This window comes from Homo sapiens, chromosome 3 (genome assembly GCF_000001405.40).
Source record: "Homo sapiens chromosome 3, GRCh38.p14 Primary Assembly".
NCBI classification, from domain to species: Eukaryota; Metazoa; Chordata; class Mammalia; order Primates; family Hominidae; genus Homo; species Homo sapiens.
In genome coordinates, this window is record NC_000003.12 from 44,490,423 (window position 1) to 44,512,143 (window position 21,721).

The following is a 21,721-nucleotide window of genomic DNA, read 5'->3' on the forward strand; positions in this document are numbered from 1 at the left end:
TCAATATCACACTGGCATGGGCCCTCTGTCCAGATGATGTGTCCCAGTTCACCACATTGTACGGCCTGGGCTAAAGGCAGGCCTCACATTACTGTACTGGATCTTTGGCTTCCATCTCTTTTAGGGCAAGTCCTCGTGATGTGGCCCGTTCTTGCATCTGAGGTGGACTTCCATGTCCCATTCTGTGGTAGATCCCATGGATAATTTTGGCCATTTTCTGAGCACATACTAGATCAGCTTGTGAGTTCATGTTCTCTTTTGAATGGTCCTATGCCGTGACAAGTAGGTCTCTTTCCTAGTTCACAAACTGCTGTCATAGTCCTTGTCTCTACATAGAGGAGCCCTTAATGGTCCAATCATTAATCTGCCAGTCACTGGACATATGGCTAGTCCATTTGTAATGGCCCATAAGTCTGTAAATGTGTAGCAGATAATTGCTGTTATATTTTCCTGAACAGCCATCACCACAGCACAGAGTTCACCCAGAGTACTGGGCAGAGTATCCTTGTCTGGTCTCAGTCAAAAGATGACTATCCTTAGGATGTGTCTTAGTCTACTTGTGCTGCTATAGCAGAATGCCTGAGACTGGGTAATTTTATAAATAGAAATTTAATTTCTCACAGTTCTGGAGGTGGGAAGTCCAAAATCAAAGTCTCCATTTCCACAATGGTGCCTTAAACATTGCACTCTCCAGGGGGAAAGAGCACACTGTTCCTCACATGGCACAACAGCAGAGGAAAGCAAACCCACTCTCATAAGCCCTTTTTATAGGGACATTAATCCATTCCTGAGGGTAAGCCTTCATGACCTAAACACCTCCCTTAGGCCCCATCTCCCAACACTGTTGTATTGGGGATTTTTTGTTTTTTAGACACAAGGTCTTGTTATGTTTCCCAAGCTGGTCTTGAACTCCTGAGCTCAAGCAATTCTCCCACCTCAGCCTCCTGAGTGGCTGGGACTACAAGCATGCAGCACTGCACCCAGCTGGGGATTAAGTTTTAACATTTTGGAGGCGACAAAACCATTCAATCCACAGCAAGATGGACGGCTACAGCAGACCATTAGAGTTTATCAGCTTTGAGTTTCACAGCTCCCTCAGTGAGCCAACTCATACCATCAGCTGGAACATCTTTGAACCATGGGCTGCACCTAGCTAAGGGAACATCCCCTATGGGCTGTTCGGCGTCCTCTGGCAAGACAGTTACTTCATGGAGTTGGCAGACCCCCTGGGATCCCAATCAGGCTCCATCTTATATGTAACATTTCCATTTAATGATGGTACTTGGCTGAACCTGTCGTGTTTTATTAGGATTAGTGAGCACTGTGAAAAAAATAAAATCAGATAAAGAAAAATTTAAAAGTTTATTGTTCAAACAAGAAGTACAGACCACAATCTAGAAGACTCAAATCAAGTGGTAAGAAATTAATCTTACAGCAGTTACAACACAGTTTATAATGCATAAAGGGGGGGAATATTTTGACCTTTTTTATAATTGGCTGTTATACATTCTTTTTAGGGCAAGTTGAGCTGTTTAAGCTTGTTGGTCTATAGCTGATTGGTTTAATTTCAGTGAATCATGCTGGCAAGGATGTAAAGCTTACATTTTGCATTTCATTTATGATCAGAGACAGCATTTCAGGAAAATCAGAATGATTAGTTTTGGTTACACGGTTGCGGGTAGTCAGCCTTAGGGTATTTCTAAACTGGGGCTTCCATTTTTATTTTTCGTTAATAATACCTGCATGAGATGGGCAGCTCAGGTCTTAAGGTCACATACAGTGCTTCAGTGGTCAAGTGTTCTGTTTAAATTAGAGTCCAATAGCAGGCTAGTAGCTGCCATTCAAAGGGAATGTATATGGCAACCATCTTGGGTAATTTATATGTCCAAAACCTAAGGGCCTGGTGCATCCTGATAGCAGTCTCTTGTTGCCGCAGTATCCAATCTGTATGGGTAAGAGTCAATGAGACCTGTAGTTCCATGGGCCTACATTAATGTCAGGCCCATGTTAATGCATAGTAGGCCTCTCGAGTCTGCTGTTGTTGAGGGCCCCATTCAGAGGTGGCTGTGTTGTGGGTAATTTTAACTAAAGGAGGCAAAATAATACTCAGATGTGATACATGTTATCTCCAATAGACAAACAGGCATACCAGCTATTGAGCTTCTTTTAGGTGGGGGCTGCCAAGGACAATATTTGACTTTATCAGGAATACTCCTCTAATTACTGGACCAGGTAGCTCCAGGGACTGCACTTGTTGGGCAAGTCTTGGGATCTTATCAGGGCTGACAACTCAACCTGCATGTGTCATATTATCTATGACCTTATGTATGGAGTGGTCAACTTGTTTCATAGGCTGGCAATGAGCATGTTATTAATATAGTGGATGACAAGTACTTTTCGAAGTAACTGGACATGTTGCAGGTCAGGGGAATGGAAGTATTGCTATGGACTGAACTGTGCCCCCAAAATTCATATGTTGAAGCCCTGAGCTCTGACATGATTGTATCTGAAGTCCTAAAGCCAGGAATGAGGAAGGCTGTGAATGTCCATTGTTCCATACAAGAATGACTCTTCTCTTGGCTATTTAGAGATCATGAGGGATACTGCCCCAGTTTCCACAGGCCAGATGGTCTCCAACAAAAGCCACGGGGGAGTCACCCCTGCCTGGCAGATCTATCGGGTCAGGACCACCGCCCAGGGGGTCCTGGAGAGGACAGTATAGGACCAAAGAGGATTATTCATGAGCCTAAGATCTCATGAAACGTGCCTTGCTAAGTTTTAGACTTGCATAGGACCATCATCCCCCTGCTCCCCCATCCTTTTTTATTTTTTATTGATAGGGTTTCACTCTGTCATCCAGGCTGGAGTGCAGTACGATCACAACTCACTGTAGCCTCGAACTCCCATGCTCAAGCCACCATGCCCAACTAATTATTTTTATTATTTTTGTAGAAATAAGGTCTCCCTATGTTGCCCAGGCTGGTCTCGAACTCCTGGACTCAAGCAATCCTCCCACCTCAGCCTCCCAAAGTGCTAGGATTAAAGGCATGAGCTATCACACCCAGCCTCATCATCCCTTTCTTCCTTCCAATTTCTCACTTTTGGAATTGGAATACCTAATCCTGCCTATCCCATCACTGTATTTTGGAAGCACATAACTTGTCTGGTTTCATAGGTTCACAGCTGGAGGGGAATTTTGCCTCAGGATAAGCTAAACCTTGGGTCTCACCCATATCTGATTTAGATATTTTTGAGACAAAGTCTCACTGTCGCCCAGGCTGGAGTGCAATGGTGCGATCTCGGCTCACTGCAACCTCTGTCTCTCGGGTTCAAGCGATTCTCCTGCCTCAGCCTCCCCGTGTAGCTGGGATTACAGGTGCACACCATCACGCCCAGCTAATTTTTGTATTTTTAGTAGAGATGGGGTTTCACCATGTTGGTCAGGCTGGTCTCGAACTCCTGACGTAGTGATCCACCCGCCTCGGCCTCCCAAAGTGCTGGGATTACAGGCGTGAGCCACCATGCCCGGCCTTTATTTAGATATTTAGATATTTAGATGAGACTTTGGACTTTAAATGTTAGTTGATACTAGAATGAGTTAAAACTTTGGAGGCTGTTAGGATGGAATGAACTTATTTTGTATGTAAGGATATGAATAGAGTGGCTAGGAGTGGAATGTTATAGAATGAATATTTATGTTGAAGCCCTAACCCCAAATGTTATATTTGGGGGTGGGGGGCCTTTGGAAAATAACTAGGATTGGAGTAGGTCATGAGAATGGGGCTGTCACTCTCACTAACGCCCTTAAAAGACTTGGAAGAGGCACCAGTGCTCTTGCTCTCTGAAATTTGAGGACACAGGAAAAAGGGGGCCATCTGCAAACCAGGAAGAGAGCCCTCACCAGCACTCAACCATTCTGGCATCTTGATGTTGAATTATGAAGACTACAGAACTGTGAGAAATAAATGTCTGTTGTTTAAGCCATCCTCTATGGTATTTTGTTATAATAGCTCAAACTGACTAAAACAGTTGCTAAAGATATATCCCTCCCAATCCCCTCACCCAAAGAACCAGGCCCAGTTACTTTTAGCAAGCCTTCAAGGAACAATTCCCATGTTATACAAACTCTCCATAGCAATAAGATAAACAAAATTTTTTCCAAATTCTTTTGCAAAGCTAGCAAAGCATTACCAAATTGAATCTACTTCTGTACTTAATAAAAATTCACTATGAACAAATAGATTTTACTTGAAAAGTACAAGGAAATTGCAAATATTTGCAAACTTGTCAAGAAAATGAATTACAAAAAGAAAAAACCATAACTCATAAAATTACAATGATGGAGTTTTTAAACTTGATATAATATAGCAACCAATCCTAATAAAAACTTTTTAAGTATAGGCCAGGCATGGTGGCTCACACCTGTATTCCCAGCACTTAGAGAAGCTGAGGCAGGATGATCGCTTGAGGCCAGGACCGCAAGACCAGCCTGAGCAAAATAGTGAAACCCCATGTTTACAAAAAATAAAAATAAAAACTTAGTCGGGCATGGTGGCACATGCCTGTATTCCTAACTATAGGGGAGGTTGAGGCAGGAGCATCTCTTGAGCCCAGGAGTTCAAGGCTGAGGTGACCTATGGTCACATCACTACACTCCAGCCTGAGCAACAGAGGGAGACCTTGTCAAAAAAAAAAACAGAAAACAAAACTGTAAGTATAATAATAATTGGGAAACTGTGCACTGTGTGCCCAGTATTGTTACAATAATGTATTCTTCACAACCCTATGAGGTAGCTCCATTTTATAGATGGAGGAATAAGATACAAGGAAGGTAAGTGATTTGCCCAGGATCACACACCTAACAAAGTGGTGGACTCAGGATTTGAACCTAGGGCACTGGGAACAAAATCTGTGCTCTTAACCACTAAACTACACTGCTTCTTCTAGAAATAAGATTAGAAGGAAACTTCCTAAATCTAACAGAACATCAGAATCCAACAATGAACACGATATGAAACTGCAGAATACTAAAAACATTCCCCCAAGCGTTAAGAGAAAGACATCTACTGTTCCATGTTTTCTGAAGTTCTTGCTAATGCACAACATAAGTGACATCAAAAGACAAATAAATCATTATTTATTCTAAACCTAGAAAAGCTAGGAAATGAATCTAACAAATTATTAAACCTAAAAATAATTTATCAACATAATTGGATCCAGATAAAATTTGTTTAAATCAATAATTAAAGTTTATACTAGCAGTGACCAATAGAAATTGAAGTATGGCTTTCAAATGCAGCCAGTTTTCCTCCATCCAAGAGCCTGAGGCTTTTTCAGGATTCACTTGTACTGAGCACCCACACCAGACTGGTGGCAGTGAGTTAATATAGTTAGGAAATGGTGCACATTCCCACACTCTGGAGGCTTAGTATGGTAGGGGATGAGCAGGCAAGAACCAGAAGGTAAAACTGCAGCTTCCAACAGGCAGGATGGTTCTTCTGCAGACATGACTGGCAATGTCCAACTCAGGGCGGGGAACCAGAAATGTCCAACTCATGTGCTCATATAGTGTGGGGCTCTTCCCTGAAATCTGGGGGCTCCCAAAATAAGACAGTTAAAGAGGAAAAAGTCCTATCTGCATATCTTTTAAAAGAAAATGGAAAAAAATACAAAAAAACAAGCTGAAAACATTTAAAATACATATTCACAAATGGTAAAATTCCAGCCGTGTCATGAGCTCCGGTTTGTTGTTTTGTTGTTGTTATTGAGACAGAGTCTCGCTCTGTTGCCCAGGCTGCAGTACAGTGGTGTGATCTTGGCTCACTGCAATCTCTGCCCTCCAGGTTCAAGTGATTCTCTTGCCTCAGACTCCTGAATAGCTGGGATTACAGGCGTGCACCACCACACCCAGCTAATTTTTGTATTTTTAGTAGAAACGGGGTTTTACAATGTTGGCCAGGCTGGTCTCAAACTCCTGGACTCAGGTGATCTGACCGCCTCAGCCTCCCAAAGTGCTGGGATTACAGGCATGAGCCACTGTGCCCAGACAAGTTTAGAAATTTCAAAAGGCCCTGAAAAACTTTAGGCCCCCAGTAATCCTTTCTAACTTTGTCTGAGACATCTCCCCAACAATCACATTTAATTCTAATTTTCTTGATCCTCAACTCTCTTTCCTTTCTCCTGCATTGTCTGAAACATACACCACAGTGCACAAAATCACCCCTCCAGGTTACATGACTGACATTGCCCCTCTAGCCTCCTCCTCCACCTTTGTCATACTGCGGATCCTGTCAGCCTGTTAAGAAATCTGGGGGATGGAGGCCAGGCGTGGTGGCTCATGCCTGTAATCCCAGCACTTTGGGAGGCCGAGGCAGGCAGATCACGAGGTCAGGAGATCGAGACCATCCTGGCTAACACGGTGAAACCCCATCTCTACTAAAAATACAAAAAAAATTAGCCGGGCCTGGTGGCGGGCGCCTGTACTCCCAGCTACTCGGGAGGCTGAGGCAGGAGAATGGCATGAACCTGGGAGGCAGAGCTTGCAGTGAGCTGAGATCGTACCACTGCACTCCAGCCTGGGCGACAGAGCAAGACTCCGTCTCAAAAAAAAAAAAAAAAAGTCTGGGGATGGAAAGAGAACAGGGTGAACATTAGAGTAAAAGGTCCACCGGCACTGGGCCATTATTGCAAGGGTGGAAGGAAAGGTGGTTCAAGCTCATGGACTGACATATGACTGCAGAAGGAAAGGTGGTCTGGAAGATAATTAAGGCACAGTTCTCATCTTGAAATTAAGACAGCAGTTGTAGTGAGAAAGGACTAGCTGATAAGGAAAACAGATTAGTTTGATACTACTATTTTACCAAAAACCTCATCACTCTGAATTCCAATCATCCAGGAATGCTGCTAGCTGAAATTTTCAATCATCTATATTACAGCCATGAAAGTCAAGTCTTCTTGCAGTAAATTTTGACTGTAAGGTTTTTTTTGTTTGTTGTTTTTGAGATGTAGTCTCACTCTGTCACCCAGGCTGGGGTGCAGTGGCACAATCTCAGCTCATTACAACCTCTGCCCAGGTGCAAGCAATTCTCCTGCCTCAGCCTCCCAAGTAGCTGGGATTACAGGTGCACACCACCATACTCGGCTAATTTTTGTATTTTAGTAGAGATGGGGTTTCACCATGTTGGCCAGGCTGGTCTCGAACTCCTGACATCAAGTGATCTGCCCACCTCGGCCTCCCAAAGTGCTGGGATTACAGGCGTGAGCCACTGAGCCTGGCCGACTATAACTTTTATTTAGGAAGCAGGATGCAGTCAAATAGTTCAGAAATGGAGTAAGTGTGCAGCTCAAAGCATGTTATCAGTAGGATATGACTGCCCAACCCAATACCTAGATAAACAGACACTCATTCACACACAAATCCATTAGCTCTTCAAGGCTGAAGTACCAGTAGTAAGACTTCCAGGGCTACAAGTAGAAGATATCAGTGAGCCTTTATATGTGATATATTACGATGCCACTTCCTTCTTTAGAAGCTTCTAGTCCAGTGTAATGGGAGGGAGACGGGAGCCTGTGCCCACGTTTATGATGGCTCAATTTGAATTTTAAAACTTAAGAACTAGCATATTCAAACTATTATGCATATAAAGAAATAGATACCATACCTGATCTCAGAAGCTTACAAGCTGGTATGAAAGTATACACATTTGAGGCTGGGTGCAGTGGCTCACACCTGTAATCCCAGCACTTTGGGAGGCTGAGGCGGGCGGATCACCTGAGATTGGGAGTTCAAGACCAGCCTGACCAACATAGAGAAACCCCATCTCTACTAAAAATACAAAAAAAAAAATTAGCCAGGCATGGTGGCACATGCCTGTAATCCCAGCTACTCGGGAGGCTGAGGCAGGAGAATCGCTTGAACCCGAGAAGCAGAGGTTGTGGTGAGCCAAGATTGCACCATTGCACTCTAGCCTGGGCAACAAGAGGGAGACTGAGACTCTGTCTCAAAAAAAAAAAAAAAAAAAAAGAAAGTATACACATACACAACTATATATGTGTATACTTTGTACATATGTGATACACATATCACCTTGTAAGTTAAGAACAATTTACAAAAACATTTAACAGTTACACATCGTAGCACCAGCTAATTTAAAGCATTAAGGCCAAATCAATAGAGGTATAAAAGAAACGAAAAACTATTTGAAGAAGAAAGTCTTTCAGAAATGGCATAAATCTTGAACATTGTGAAGGAAGTGATTAGCAAACAGGAAGAAAAAGTTTTCTAGCTAGAAAACACAAAAATGATGAGAGGATGTAGCTTACAGTACAAATTTTTAAAGTAGCTGTGGAAGGAGATAGCCAAGGAGCAGGGAAGAATAATCTTGCAGAATGACTTAAAAAGTGACTTCACGTAAATGGTTCAGTGGAGGAACTGCAATAGAATAAAGGTAATATAACTGCTGTTCTTGAGAAATGCAGAATCTGATTATGGAATGCATACTAACAAGATAGAGTTTTAAATAGTTTTTTAAGAGAAAGAAGGGAACCTACAAGTTAATGACAGATGTAATCCCCAATTTCCTACTAAGTAAGGATCAGACTAAGTTGCACCTACTCTCCCACCTTAGTGACCCAAGGAAAAGCAAGTAGGTATGGTCTCCACTGTGATTAGTGGTCTCCAAGGAGACCATGATGAACATCCTTCTTATAAAGACAGCTTAACTCAAAGGTCTTTGCTGTCTGTCTCAGAAAACCATGCCTTAAGAAGATGACCGAGCCAGACCTGAGGGCTTCTCTCCAGCATGAGTTCGCTGGTGGTGATTAAAAGTGGAACGCTGACTAAAGGCTTTCCCACACTCAATACATTCATAAGGTTTTTCTCTCCAGTGTGGACTCTCTGGTGCACAGTAAGCTGTGAGCTGTCACTAAAGGCTTTCCCACAACTATTGCATTTATAGGGTTTTTCCCCAGTATGGGTTCTCTGATGTACCATAAGACTAGAATTATAACTGAAGACCTTCCCACACTCATTACATTCATAGGGTTTCTCACCAGTGTGAATTCTCTGGTGTATAATGAGGTATGAGTTTTGATTGAAGGATTTTCCACACTCATTGCATTTATAGGGCTTTTCACTTGTGTGAAGCCTCTGGTGCCGAATAAGACATTTACTCAGACCGAATGCCTTACCACACTCACTACACTTAAATGGTTTTTCTCCAGTATGAATTCGCTCATGTTCAACAAGTTGAGAGATCTGATTGAAGGCTTTCCCACATTCACTACATTTGTATGGCTTTTCCCCAGTGTGGAGGCTCTGATGTCGAATAAGACATTTACTCCGACTGAAGGCTTTGCCACATTCATTACATTTATAAGGCTTCTCCCCAGTGTGGGTTCTCTGATGGTCAATGAGATTTCTATTGGAACAGAATGCTCTCCCACATTCATTACACTTATAAGGTTTCTTACCAGTGTGCAGAAACTGATGTCGAACAAGATTTTTACTCCGACTAAAGGCCGCCCCACACTCCTTACATTCATAAGGTTTCTCCCCAGTATGGGTTCTCTGGTGGTCGAAGAGTTTGGAGCTCTGATTAAAAGCTTTTGCACATTCATTACATTTATAGGGTTTCTCCCCATTATGGAGTCTCTGGTGTTGAATGAGATGGGAGCTGTGCCTATAGGCCTTTCCACACTCACTGCATTCATAGGGCTTTTCCCCTGTGTGGGTTCTGAGATGAACAATGAGCTGGGAGGTTTGCCTGAAGGTCTTCCCACACTCATTACACTCATAGGGTTTCTCTCCAGTGTGGATTCTCCGATGACCAATGAGGTGCGAACTCCAATAAAAAGCTTTGCCACATTCATCACATCGATAGGATTTCTGTCCCTTTAAAACTCCTTCATGTTCAACAGGACTGGAAGACAGAGGTGGATGTTCCTCAACTTCCTTATATTCCTCATATCTGTCTTTTGTGGATTTTTTCTTATCCTCATCTATTATTTCCAAGAAATCACTTTCTAGTCTGCTCCCTTCTTCATTTGAGGGTTGTCCTTCTAACTCTTTGAAGGTATCTTCACAAACATCTCCAGTCTCTGTTCCCCCAGGAACCACCCCAAAGAGTCCCCCTGATGTGCTATTAGATGACTCTGATCCTTTAAAAATTTCCTGCTTCGGAGTCAGCTCTGAACTCTCCATCATGTTCCTACCTGCTGCCAAAAAAAATAAGACAACAACTTTTACTCATTTCTTTTCCTGTTGAAGAAACAGAATCATAAAGAGCTAATGTACCTGAAAAAAAGTCACATTATGGTTAAGAAATGAGATGACACATTGAGAACAAGAGCAAAATGCTCAATTGTATCTTAGGGATAGAAAAACAAGGAAGAAGAAGACGGTCAGTGGAGGAGGGTGGAAAAAAGATATTGAGCCAGCACAGCCAAGTCAGAAGGGTCACTGGAAAGCAAGAGACTGGATTGCAAAGCATGCTGTGATCTTATATAAGTCACTCTCACACTATGTCTCTTTAGCAAAATGGTAAACTTTGAGTTCCCTTCCAACCATGACATTATATGGTTCCATGGTTCTCAGAAAAGATGTTGGGAGAGGGAAGGCTGGCAAATACCTCAAGTCAAATATAAGAAAGAGACAAGGAAAAGATGGGAATGAGTTGAGAAATTTCTACTATGAGTGTATGATTAGGAAAGCGTACAAAAAGGAGAGATGTTGTATGACAGGACAGTAACAAGATTTGGAGAAGCTATCAGTTGAGAAAAGCTGGACAGCAGTATTGAAGGAGACAGCAGAGTTCTAAAAGTGGGGATGCCACTGGCCCTCAGAGCACTGGCCCGGTAGGAGCCAGTTGTGCACTCCCAGAAAAGATAACAGGGACATCAATCATTTGAAATATAAATTAAAATGCCTTTGATTATCTAGAATATAAAGGAAATGATCAGGTAAATATTTGCCTTTTGGAATTCTGAATACAAAATCTGGGAGAAGGCAGAGTAATCATGGCCATGGAAAAACACCAAAATGTGGGTTCCTTTCAATCACATCTGAATTGGGGCTACAGCCATCATGTCAGTTAGCCTATGGAAAGTTTAAGATGTCTGGGTGAAAGATTCCTAAGCCCACCCTTTCCAGAGTTGGCTACTGCCCTATATGCATCAATCATAGCACCTGCACTGCCAAGAAGCCCTTCCAGGAAACTGCACTGCCCCAGTCTTTGCAGAGAGCAACACTTAGGCAACCATGCTCTGTGGCAAGTGATCCTGAACATCATCCCATGATGGACTGCAAGTGATTGGACCAGTACCAGGTACCAGACCCAAGGGCAGCTTATCTGTAGGTTAGTCTTCAGCCTCTGCCATGGCCTGGGCCAAAGCTCTGCCCAACCGAGATGATGAGTAATGGCTATAGCAATGGGAATCTGTCTCTAAGGAAATTCGGAACTGGAAGTAGGGCAAAATTACGAGTGGTAATGGAATCTGAAGTGATACATGGAGAGAAGCCAAGCCATTAGGAGACACAGCAAGCAACAAATATAAGGGAACAGGAAGTACAATTAGGAAAGAGCTACGAAAAGGACAAAAGATTCACAGTGAAGAAAATGGGCAGCAGGAGGAGTACAAGCAGAGAGAAAACAGATACACTGCGAGCAGCTGCATTACATTCACACCAGAACACAGGCATCAACATGCATTTGCTTTTGCTGTTCAGGCTCCCAGGCTGCCCTGAGTCAAGGCCCTACTTCCCACAGTCTGGTCTAGCGATCAGTTTCTTCTGGGTTCTCATTCCTTTAAGCCTATGACTCACAGCTCCTTACTTACAATAACTTGAGTGGCTCTCTATTCCTTACAACTAAAAAAACTCTACCTAAACCACCTTATGTCAATCAATAATGAGGTGAAGAGAATGCTGATCATTGTTCAAGCTGAATGCAGAGAAGGTCCTATTCAAGAGGACCCAGGCAGCTCCATACACACTGACTCTTATTCACTCTAGCTTATCTCCGTTTGGAAATTTTCGTAGTAAAAAGTTTAAAAAGAAAAGGAATATAAAAAAGAGAATGGCAGCATGCAGACTCTAAGTGACTAGGAAACAGAATCATTACCCAAAGAAGCCATGCTACGGTCATTTTCCAGCATCATGTTCCAGTGCAGGGCTCTCTGACTGAGTGCGAGACCTTTCCATTTCTTCTGAGTATAGTCCTCAGACAGGTCCTCATACGCCACAGTATCCTGGAATGACAAGCTCCGATTGCTCAGGAACATTCACACCCTGAAGGGCAGAGTCATCAAGGGTACAGAGGGCACAGGGTATGGCCTCTTCGTGGGCAAAAGTATGGGAGAGAGGAGCTGAGATAACACCTCGAAAGTCCAGTGCAAGATAGAGTCCATTACCTCCAGGGGAAGCAATGAGGCAGGAGAGCCACAGGAATAGTCTTAGATGGGGCAGAGTCCTGGGGGTGAGACCTCTAGCCATTCTTGGACCAGACTCATGGGGACTTGGTAAAAACACAAAGAACCAAGCTCACCTGGGGCCTGACCATCCGAAGTACAGTTGCCCCTGCTTGGTCTCCTGAGTTCCCCACTTGAGGAAGGGTAGGAACTGGAGAAGTACATTGAGCTGAGGGAGGAAAGAAAGCTATGAGTGGGACAAGCCCTGCTTCTGGCTCCCATAAGATCTATATTCCCAATAAGTGGATTCAAGAGAACCCAGGCACCTCCACACACACTGACTCTTAACCTCTTCCATAAGGCATTATCCCAAGAGTGGTGTGAATTTTCCCTGGAGGGTACAGTACAAGGTCCCGGATCAAGCTGAGAACTGGGTGTTCCTCCAAGCCCTCACTCTCTTCAACCTTTTTCAAGGAAGCTATTCTGGCCACTCTCTCTCCCATGGCTTCCCTAGCACCAGCCAGCCCTGATTTTCCCCACACAGTTGTGGTTCCTCATGTCTGCTCCTGCCCTCTCATTATGGACACTCCTTGCAACTCAGGCCCCAGTGCTTCCTTGTTTTTTCCGTCAGCAATCTGACCAACTCTCATTGCTTTAATACTGCTCTCACAGTTCTTACTTCTCTCCTAGACCCCTACCACATGCCTCCTGTTGCCTATGGGACATTGCACTTGGGTGTCCTGCAACACCTCAAGTTCAGTGTCTAAAATGCATGTTCTTACTACCTTCCTCTCTGGATTTCCCAAGTTATGTCAATGAATTCACACACTGGCCAAAACATTTTAATTCCTCTCTTTTCTTCAAACACAAGTCCCATGGATACTCCCAAAACTTATCTACAGGTTCAACACAATCCCTATCAGATTCCCAGGGGGCATCTTTTTAGAAGTCGAAAGTTGATCCTAAAATTTATGTGGAAACTCAAGAGAACCATACAGTCACAATTCTTCTTGAAAAAGAGGAATAAAGTTGAAGGACTCAAACTTCTCAATTTCAAAACTTCCTACAGAACAACAGTCTTCAATTTATTGTATTCCTGTCATAAGAATAGACATACAGTTCAATGGATTAGAATTAAGAGTCCAGAAATAAACTATATATCTTTAGTCATTATTTTACAATGGTGCCAAGATCATTCAAAGTGGAAAGAATGATCTTTTCAATGAATGGTGCTGAGACAACTGGATATGCACCTGCAAAATAATGAAGATGGTGCTCTACCTCACTCCATCTATAAAAATAACTTCTAAAAAATCAAAGACCTACATATAAGAACTAAAACTTGCTGGGTGCAGTGGCTCATGCCTGTAATCCCAGCACTCTGGAAGGCCGAGGTGGGTGAATCACCTGTGGTCAGGAATTTGAGACCAGCCTGGCCAACATGGCAAAGCCCCGTCTCTATTAAAAATAGAAAAAATTAGCTGGGCATGGTGGTGGGCTCTTGTAATCCCAGCTACTTGGGAGGCTGAAGCAGGAAAATTGCTTGAATGTGGGAGGCAGAGATTGCAGTGAGCCGAGATCGCGCCATTGAACTCCAGCCTGGGTAAGAAAGCGAGACTCTAAGTCCAAAAAAAAAAAAAAAAAAAAAAAAAAAAAGAACTAAAACTCTAAAACTCTTACAAGAAACCTGTGTAGAAGTCTTTGTGACTTATACCTTTATGACAACGGATTTGTAAACACCAAAATCATATTAAAACAAGGAAAAAATAATAAAAAATAAATAAATTGGACTTTACCAAAAGGAAAACCTCTTGTGCATAAAAGAAAAGAAGAAGAAAGTGAAAAGCCATCCACAGACTGGAAGAAAACACTGGCAAATCATGTATCTGATAAAGACTTGTATCTGGAATATATAAATAATATATTTATATTCTTTAATATATATATATTCTTTATATAGAGAGAATATATATTTATATTCTTTATATATTACAACTCAATAATAAAAAGAAAAAAATAACAAATTTTAAAATAGGGCCAGGGCACAGTGGTTCACGCCTATAATCCCAGCACTTTGGGAGGCTGAGGCAGGCAGATCACCTGAGGTCAGGAGTTTGAGACCAGCCAGGCCAACATGGCGAAACCTCGTCTCTACTAAAAATACAAAAATTAGCTGGGCATGGTGGCAGGCACCTGTAATCCCAGCTACTCAGGAGGCTGAGGCAGTAGAATTATTTGAACCCAGGAGGCAGAGGTTGCAGGGAGCTGAGATTGCGCCACTACACTCCAGCCTGAGTGACAGAATGAGACTCCATCTCAAAAATAAAAATGAAAATGGCCAAAGGGTCTGAATTGACATTTCTCCAAAGAAAATATTAAAATGTCTAATAAGTACACAGGATAGTCATCAGGGAATGCAGATTAACCGAACAATAAGATAGTACTTCACACCCAGTAAGGTGGCTAGAACAAAAATCCGATAATAACAAGCAATCATGGGAGGCCAAGGTGAGTGGATTGCTTGAGTCCAGGAGTTCAAGGCCAGCCTGGGCAACATGGCAAAATCCTCTCTCTACAAAAAATACAAAAAATTAACTGGGCCTGGTGGCATGCACCTGTGGTCCCAGCTACCCAGGAGGCTGATGTGGGAAGATGGCCTGGGCCTGGAAGGTCGAGGCTACAGTAAGCCAAGATCACACCACTGCATTCCAGCCTGGGGGACAGAGCAAGACTCTGTCTCAAAAAAATAAATAAAAAATCAGTGAGAATGTGGAGATATTGAAACTTTATCCACTGCTGGTGGAAATGTAAATTGATGCATACACTTATGAAAACAGTCTGACAGTTCCTCACGAAGTTAAACATACATTTACTAATTGACCTAGCAATTCTACTCCTATATATATATACACCCAAGATAAAAGAAAATAGATGTCCATACAAAAACTCATACACAAATGTTCATAGCAGCATTACACATAATAGTAAAAAGGAAGAAACAATCCAAGTATTCATCCAGCTTTTCATATTTATTGGCATAAAGCTATTTACAGTATTGGTATTCTCTTAAAATTAAATAACTATATCTTCTTTTTGTGCACACTCTTAACAATCCAGGAATAGAGACATCCTTAAACTGACATGCAGAATAGACGAAAGAAATCTCCAACAGACGTGACACTAAATGGTAAAGACATAAAAACCTTTGCAATTAAAAATAGGAACAAACATTGTAATCCTAGACAATGTAATTAGACCAGAAAAAAAAATGCAGAAAATAGACAAGAAAGATGCAAAGCAAATATACGCATGAATGATATGAAACATCACCTAAAAAATTAAACAGAATGAACCAAAAAAACAGAACGTCATAAGACATTCAGGAGATTGAATATATAATCAATATATACTCAATAACTTTCCAACACAATAGCAACCAATCAGAAAATGAATTAAAACAATAGCAACAAAAATATAAAGTACTCAGAAATAAAGCCAATAAAAAATGTACAAGACCTTAGTGGATAAATAGAAAACTCTGCCTAAAGACATAACAGATATAAATACATTTTGTATGGGAAAACACTCCTTCAAGATGTCAGTTTTTTCTAAATTAACATGCAAAGTCAACAAAATCCCAGCCAACTACAATGTAATTTTTCATAGAGCTTGATAAGCATACTCTAAAATTCAAATGAATGAGAAAAATAATAGTTAAGAAAACTTTTTAGATGTGGAAAGTTTTGTTCTACCAGACAATAAGGCTTAATATAAAGCTGTAGTACTTGAAACAGCATATATTACTGAAGAAATATAAATATGCAAACTGTAGATAAAAGGAAAAGTACAGAATCCTGACACAGGCTTATACACATATGTAAGTTTTGTTTTTTTGTTTCTATGGAGACGGAGTCTTGCCGTGTTGCCCAGTCTGGAGTGCAGTGGTGCAATCTCTGCTCACTGCAACCTCCGTCTCCTGGATTCAAGTGATTCTCCAGCCTCAGCCTTCCAAGTAGCTGGGATTACAGGCATGCACCACCATGCCCAGCCAATTTTATAAGTTTGATGCATGACAGAGATAGTGTCACCACAGTGTTACCTAAAAAAAAAAAATGAGGTTCATTCACCTGGCGAGTAACAAACGACTGTTTGTGAGAATGCAAGTTTAGATCAATAGGAGTTTTATTACTTGGTGTAAGTAAGGAGGACACTGGGAGTATTTTCCAAAGCAGCATCTCTCCAAGGGAAAGTAATAGGAGAATTTTATGGAGCAATGGAGAGGCGAGAGGCTACATCATCCCATGTATAGGAGGGGTCCCAGTGGTACAGACGCAGTGAGTCATTATGCCAGCACATAAGTCATGTGTTATGGTAATGAAGCTATAGCTACTCCCCGGGTGGAGACTTTAGCATGGTAATGAGAAAAGTTCACTCAGGTTCATCTATAAGTTGCTGGGGTCTGTCAGGAGCTGGGGTTTTTTTTTGTTTTTGTTTTTGTTTTTTTGAGAGAGAGTCTCACTCTGTCGCCCAGGCTGGAGTGCAGTGGCGCAATCTCGGCTCACTGCAAGCTCTGCCTCCCAGGTTCACACTATTCTCCTGCCTCAGCCTCCTGAGTAGCTGAGACTACAGGCGCCTGCCACCACGCCCGGCTAATTTTTTTGTATTTTTAGTAGAGACAGGGTTTCACCGTGTTAGCAAGGATGGTCTCAATCTCCTGACCTTGTGATCCACCCGCCTCAGCCTCCCAAAGTGCTGGGATTACAGGTGTGAGCCACCACGCCCGGCCTGGGGCTGGTTTTAACTAACTAGGTGACTGCAATCCACACAGGGTTTAGGAAGAAACAGGCTGCAGGGCAGAAGGCTGTAAAACTGGCTGACTGCTCAAGTTGATTAAATTCCTATGATCCCTGGAGGCCCTCTCTGTCTACTTATAGCAGCAAGACCTTCTTTTAAAAAGAGCCCCAGAACCTGTAAAATTAACCTGTGCCAGCAGCTGTGCTTGCTTAGAGAGAAAAAGGCTAAATATCAGTAACCACAAAGGAGAACTTAGCTCAGCAGTGCTACCCAGGCCTGAATCCTTGCTTCATTACCATATTAAAATCTCCACCTAGAAGGGAGAAATACACTTGCTAGGCACATATAGTGCTGGGTACAAAAGAAACAATGAGACTGGCCAGGCGCGGTGGCTCACGTCTGTAATCCCAGCACTTTGGGAGGCCAAGGCGGGTGGATCACCTGAGGTCAGGAGTTCAAGACCCTCCTGACCAACATGGAGAAACCCCGTCTCTATTAAAAATACTAAATTAGCCAGGCATGTGGTACATGCCTGTAATCCCAGCTATTTGGGGGGCTGAGACAGGAGAACTGCTTGAACCTGGGAGGCGGAGGTTGCGGTGAGCCAAGATCAAGCCATTGCACTCCAGCCTGGGCAACAAGAGCAAAACTCCATCGCAAAAGAAAAAAAAAGAAAGAAAGAAAGAAAAAAGAATGAGACTGAGCACACTCCAGTTCTTCCCATAGGGCCCCACCTCTTTCCAGGATCTCTGCCCCACTACATGCCCTAAGAGACCTTAAAAATCCCTCTTCACCACACCCAGAGGAGGGTACTTTGAGCATGAGCTTTTCCTTCTCCATTCCTTCATCAACAAATAAAGTTTCTGCACTGCTTAACGAAACTTGGTCTCATTTTATTGGCATGAACACCACCAGGCAGGTAAAGGACCCACTGAAGTCAAACGACTTCCCTTGAGAGTTGGTAACAGTAGCATTACAAGTCAGTGGGAAAAATTAAACTAGTCAATGAATTGTGTTGGGACAATTGGCTAGGCAAATAAAAATAGTAAGTAAAATCACACAAAAAATAAAGAAACTTAAAAAACAAAGCTAAAAGGCTGGGTGCGGTGGCTCACGCCTGTAATCCCAGCTCTTTGGGAGGCCAAGGTGGGTGGATCACAAGGTCAGGAGTTCAAGACCAACCTAACCAAGATGGTGAAATCCCATCTCTACTTTAAAAAAAAAAAAAGCCAGATGTGGTGGCAGGCGCCTGTAATCTCAGATACTCGGGAGGCTGAGGCAGAGAATTGCTTGAACCCAGGAGGCAGAGGCTGCAGTGATCCAAGATTGTGCCACTGCACTCCAGCCTGGGTGACACAGAGTGAGACTCTGTCTCAAAAAAAAAAAAGAAAAAAACCATAAAGACTCTAAGAACCCTGGTGTAACCAAGAATTTCTTAAGACAACAAAATGAAAAGAGTGAATATATTTGAATACATCAATATGAAAAAAATCTCTGTCCAAAAGAAAAGCAAAAGAAAAAAACACCAAACACAAACCACTAATAGATGTGGAAATGTAATAGCCAACAGGAAGGATAGTTTGAAAGTCCACAGTAAAACTAAAAAGACATATTCCTTACGCTACAGGAATTTAACTTGTAAGAATCTGCCCTGAAAAACACTTGCACGGGTATTCAGACATTTACACAGGTATTTACTAAAATATTCTCTGTAATAACATAATACTGGATTTAACCTACTTGTCCATCAATATGGCTAAATAAAAGTAGCATTTTTATAGGATGAAATACCATACAGCACCTAAAAGGAACATACTAGATCCTTATGCATCACCATGACTGTTCCACTATTCACCAGGTGGCCAGGCTGTGCTGCCAAGATTAAAAGGCCATCCAAGGAAGGGATAGCACATGATTTGAGGTCGCTGAGGACAGATACCAACCACATCAGGCCCCAAGAGGTACAGCGTATACTTACAGCAAAAGGAGAAACAGGGAACAAGATCCAGCCTCCTGCAATGCAAAGAGCCCCCACACCCAGCAGATCCACTCCACAGCTATAGGGCTGGTGTGATGCACACACCCCACTTAGTAAGGAAGAAAGATCTCAATCCACCCTCCCCACTCCTATGGGGTGTGAAATACAGAAGGCTGAGAGAATGAATGAAGGCCACTGACTTAAGAGATTAAACACAACAAAGGAGTACACATGAAGCCTGAAACACTGAAAGACACAAGGCATTAAATGCAGCAGCACAGGCTGTGAGGGCTCTAACTCTGCAAGGAAATGTTCCAGGCTCAAGGTCACTCTTACATTCTTAACTTGGCAATGGGCTATTTAAAAAAAAAAAAAAGACATTAAAAACTGTCAATTCTTCTTGTCTCCCAGTTTAGATATTCCTTCTTTCATTAATTTAACAAACACCTTCTAGGAGCACCTACTATTTCCCATACACTAAGGTAACAGCAGTTAATAAAGCAAACAGAAAGCACTGCCCTGGCAAGGGGCTTATGGGAAGATAACCAATAAACAAATACATGCTATGTTAGACGGCGACAGGTGCCAGGAAGTGAAATAAGACAAGAAAAAGGGAGAAGTCTATGCCAGATGTTTTCAATGTCAGGAGACCTGGAGACTAAGATTTCCGGACGGTGGCTACTTTCACTTTTCTTCCACTTATCTAATTGTCTCTAATAAGTACGCTTTATTCGCATAATTGGGTGAAAAGATAAAGCCAGAAGAAACCGGGAATTTTCCAGATTCTCTGCCCCAGACGCCCGGGGGGCGAAGAGGTATGCCCTCGGCGCGGCCGGGCGGGATCCACGGCCAGACCCCCGCCCCGGGTGCAGCCTCCAGGCCCGGCCTCACCTGCCACTCTCGCACGCACAGCCGCCCCCGCTCCGCACCCCGCGCCCCGCCGGGCCGCTCACCGACTCCGCCGCCGAGAGACAATCATCCAAACGCCGCCACCGCAGCCGACCGCCCCGCGCCTACCTCCCAGCTTCCCCAGTTGCGCACGCGCGTCGCCTCCCCGGGCCCTCTGCGGCCTCTCTAGGAAACTGGGAGGGCCAACATCTCTGCTTCTCCCTGGGCCCAGGGCCGCTGGCGGCGGGCGGCGGGCGGCGGGCGGCGGGCGGCGGGCGGCGGGCGGCGGGGCTTGTCCAGCATCCTTCGCCTCCTTCCGCGGACACTTGTCTTCCACGCTCTGATGCCCAGGCGCGCTCCAGAACTCTATCGGCTTTGGCGTATTATCCTACATCCCTCCCATCGGTTCTGCACGGCTGCCCTGGAGGCCTCTTTTCCTTCAGGGAAGAAAGGGATCCAAAGCTAGCGGTGAAAATAGAGCCAGCGGCCTGGCGCGGTGGCTCACGCCTGTAATCCCAGAACTTTGGGAAGCCGAGGTGGGCGGATCACGAGGTCAGGAGATCGGTGGCTAACACGGTGAAACCCCGTGTCTACTAAAAATAAAAAAAAAGTAGCTGGGTGTGGTGGCGCGGCGCCTGTAATCGCAGCTACTTCGGCGGCTGAGGCAGGAGAATCGTTTGAACCTGGGAGGCGGAGGTTGCAGTGAGCCGAGATCGTGCCACTGCACTCCAGCCTGGGAGACAGAGCCAGACTCCGTCTCAAAAAACAAACAAACAAAAAAATAGGGCCAGCACATCCCCAAACATAAAACCCTTGAATGGAGAAATTCCCAAACAAGGCAATAAGCCCAGCACTGGCCGTGAGAGTTTATTATCCCCTTTTAAGTAAATGCTACAAGCCCTAGGCGCACTTTTGCAACTGTTCAAGGGTCATCAGGCTGCACATGACTGACCAAGACACTCAGTTGCCCACTTTGGATGGAGCTACAGCTTTGTGGGAAAAACAGATAATAGAAATTACACAAATACATCAATGTCAAGTGGTTACGAACACTGTTGAAATGTAACAGAGTTATTTAATTGACAGCGACTGATGATAATGCTTGTATTTTTTCTGGTACTTTTCTGTATACTTCCGGTAGCTCATAACACACTGGCTGCCATGCATTGATTTGAGTTGCCCAAGGAAATAGAGTCAGTAACTGGAATAGCCACTGAATCCAAATCTTTTGGTCTTTTCACTACTGTGCTTCATAAAAGCTCTCCCGTCCCACGTCCCTGTAGAGGGAGAGTTGGGGATAGCATGGCTCCTAGCTGAGATCCCAGAAGCTAGGGGTAGAAGGTTGTGGGCAGGATAGTGAGGAGGGCAAGATTCCAAGGAAAACTAAAATCCCTGCCCAGGAACGGTTACCACCTGGGAAAGCAGGAATGACCCAACGCATCAAGGCCCAGAGTGTACTCAAAGAACAACAGGTTAGGATGAGGGTCAAAACTCAGACCAGAAAGAGCATTAGCTGAGCTTGGTGGTGCACGCCTGTAGTCCTAGCTACTGTGGAGGCAGAGGCGGAAGGATCGCTTGGGCCGGGGAGGTCGAGGCTGCAGTGAGCTATGATTGGGGCAGTGTACTCCAGCTTGGGCGACAGAGCGAGACCCAAGG

General features: G+C 43.6%; 1 protein-coding gene across 2 annotated transcripts, besides 7 other annotated features; it reads right to left on the bottom strand.

The window, feature by feature from the left end:
* Positions 1-1,343: 1,343 nt before the first annotated feature.
* Positions 1,344-20,195, bottom strand: ZNF852 (zinc finger protein 852). 2 transcript variants are annotated; one of them, NM_001423469.1, is made up of 4 exons: positions 20,131-20,195; positions 12,543-12,634; positions 12,120-12,246; positions 1,344-10,212 (listed from the first exon to the last, which is right to left on the bottom strand). In NM_001423469.1, the coding sequence occupies exons 2-4, from the start codon at positions 12,555-12,557 to the stop codon at positions 8,723-8,725; spliced, it is 1,632 nt and encodes a 543-aa protein (NP_001410398.1). In that variant the 5' UTR covers positions 12,558-12,634; positions 20,131-20,195; the 3' UTR covers positions 1,344-8,722. The 2 variants fall into 2 exon arrangements, with proteins under 2 accessions (NP_001410398.1, NP_001410399.1); NM_001423470.1 differs by having other exon boundaries at positions 1,344-10,215.
* Positions 19,578-20,354: an enhancer, noted in NCBI's record as "H3K27ac hESC enhancer chr3:44551492-44552268 (GRCh37/hg19 assembly coordinates)". NCBI's record gives its function as "activates a minimal SCP1, AML or CMV promoter by ChIP-STARR-seq in primed H9 embryonic stem cells {active_cell/tissue: H9 hESC(primed)}" and the evidence as "EXISTENCE:reporter gene assay evidence [ECO:0000049][PMID:30033119]".
* Positions 19,578-20,369: a biological region, named in NCBI's record as "H3K27ac hESC enhancer GRCh37_chr3:44551492-44552268".
* Positions 19,960-20,119: a silencer, noted in NCBI's record as "silent region_14265". NCBI's record gives its function as "represses an Ori minimal core promoter by ATAC-STARR-seq in GM12878 lymphoblastoid cells {active_cell/tissue: GM12878}" and the evidence as "EXISTENCE:reporter gene assay evidence [ECO:0000049][PMID:35858748]".
* Positions 20,130-20,189: a silencer, noted in NCBI's record as "silent region_14266". NCBI's record gives its function as "represses an Ori minimal core promoter by ATAC-STARR-seq in GM12878 lymphoblastoid cells {active_cell/tissue: GM12878}" and the evidence as "EXISTENCE:reporter gene assay evidence [ECO:0000049][PMID:35858748]".
* Positions 20,320-20,369: a silencer, noted in NCBI's record as "silent region_14267". NCBI's record gives its function as "represses an Ori minimal core promoter by ATAC-STARR-seq in GM12878 lymphoblastoid cells {active_cell/tissue: GM12878}" and the evidence as "EXISTENCE:reporter gene assay evidence [ECO:0000049][PMID:35858748]".
* Positions 20,355-21,131: an enhancer, noted in NCBI's record as "H3K27ac hESC enhancer chr3:44552269-44553045 (GRCh37/hg19 assembly coordinates)". NCBI's record gives its function as "activates a minimal SCP1, AML or CMV promoter by ChIP-STARR-seq in primed H9 embryonic stem cells {active_cell/tissue: H9 hESC(primed)}" and the evidence as "EXISTENCE:reporter gene assay evidence [ECO:0000049][PMID:30033119]".
* Positions 20,590-20,649: an enhancer, noted in NCBI's record as "active region_19764". NCBI's record gives its function as "activates an Ori minimal core promoter by ATAC-STARR-seq in GM12878 lymphoblastoid cells {active_cell/tissue: GM12878}" and the evidence as "EXISTENCE:reporter gene assay evidence [ECO:0000049][PMID:35858748]".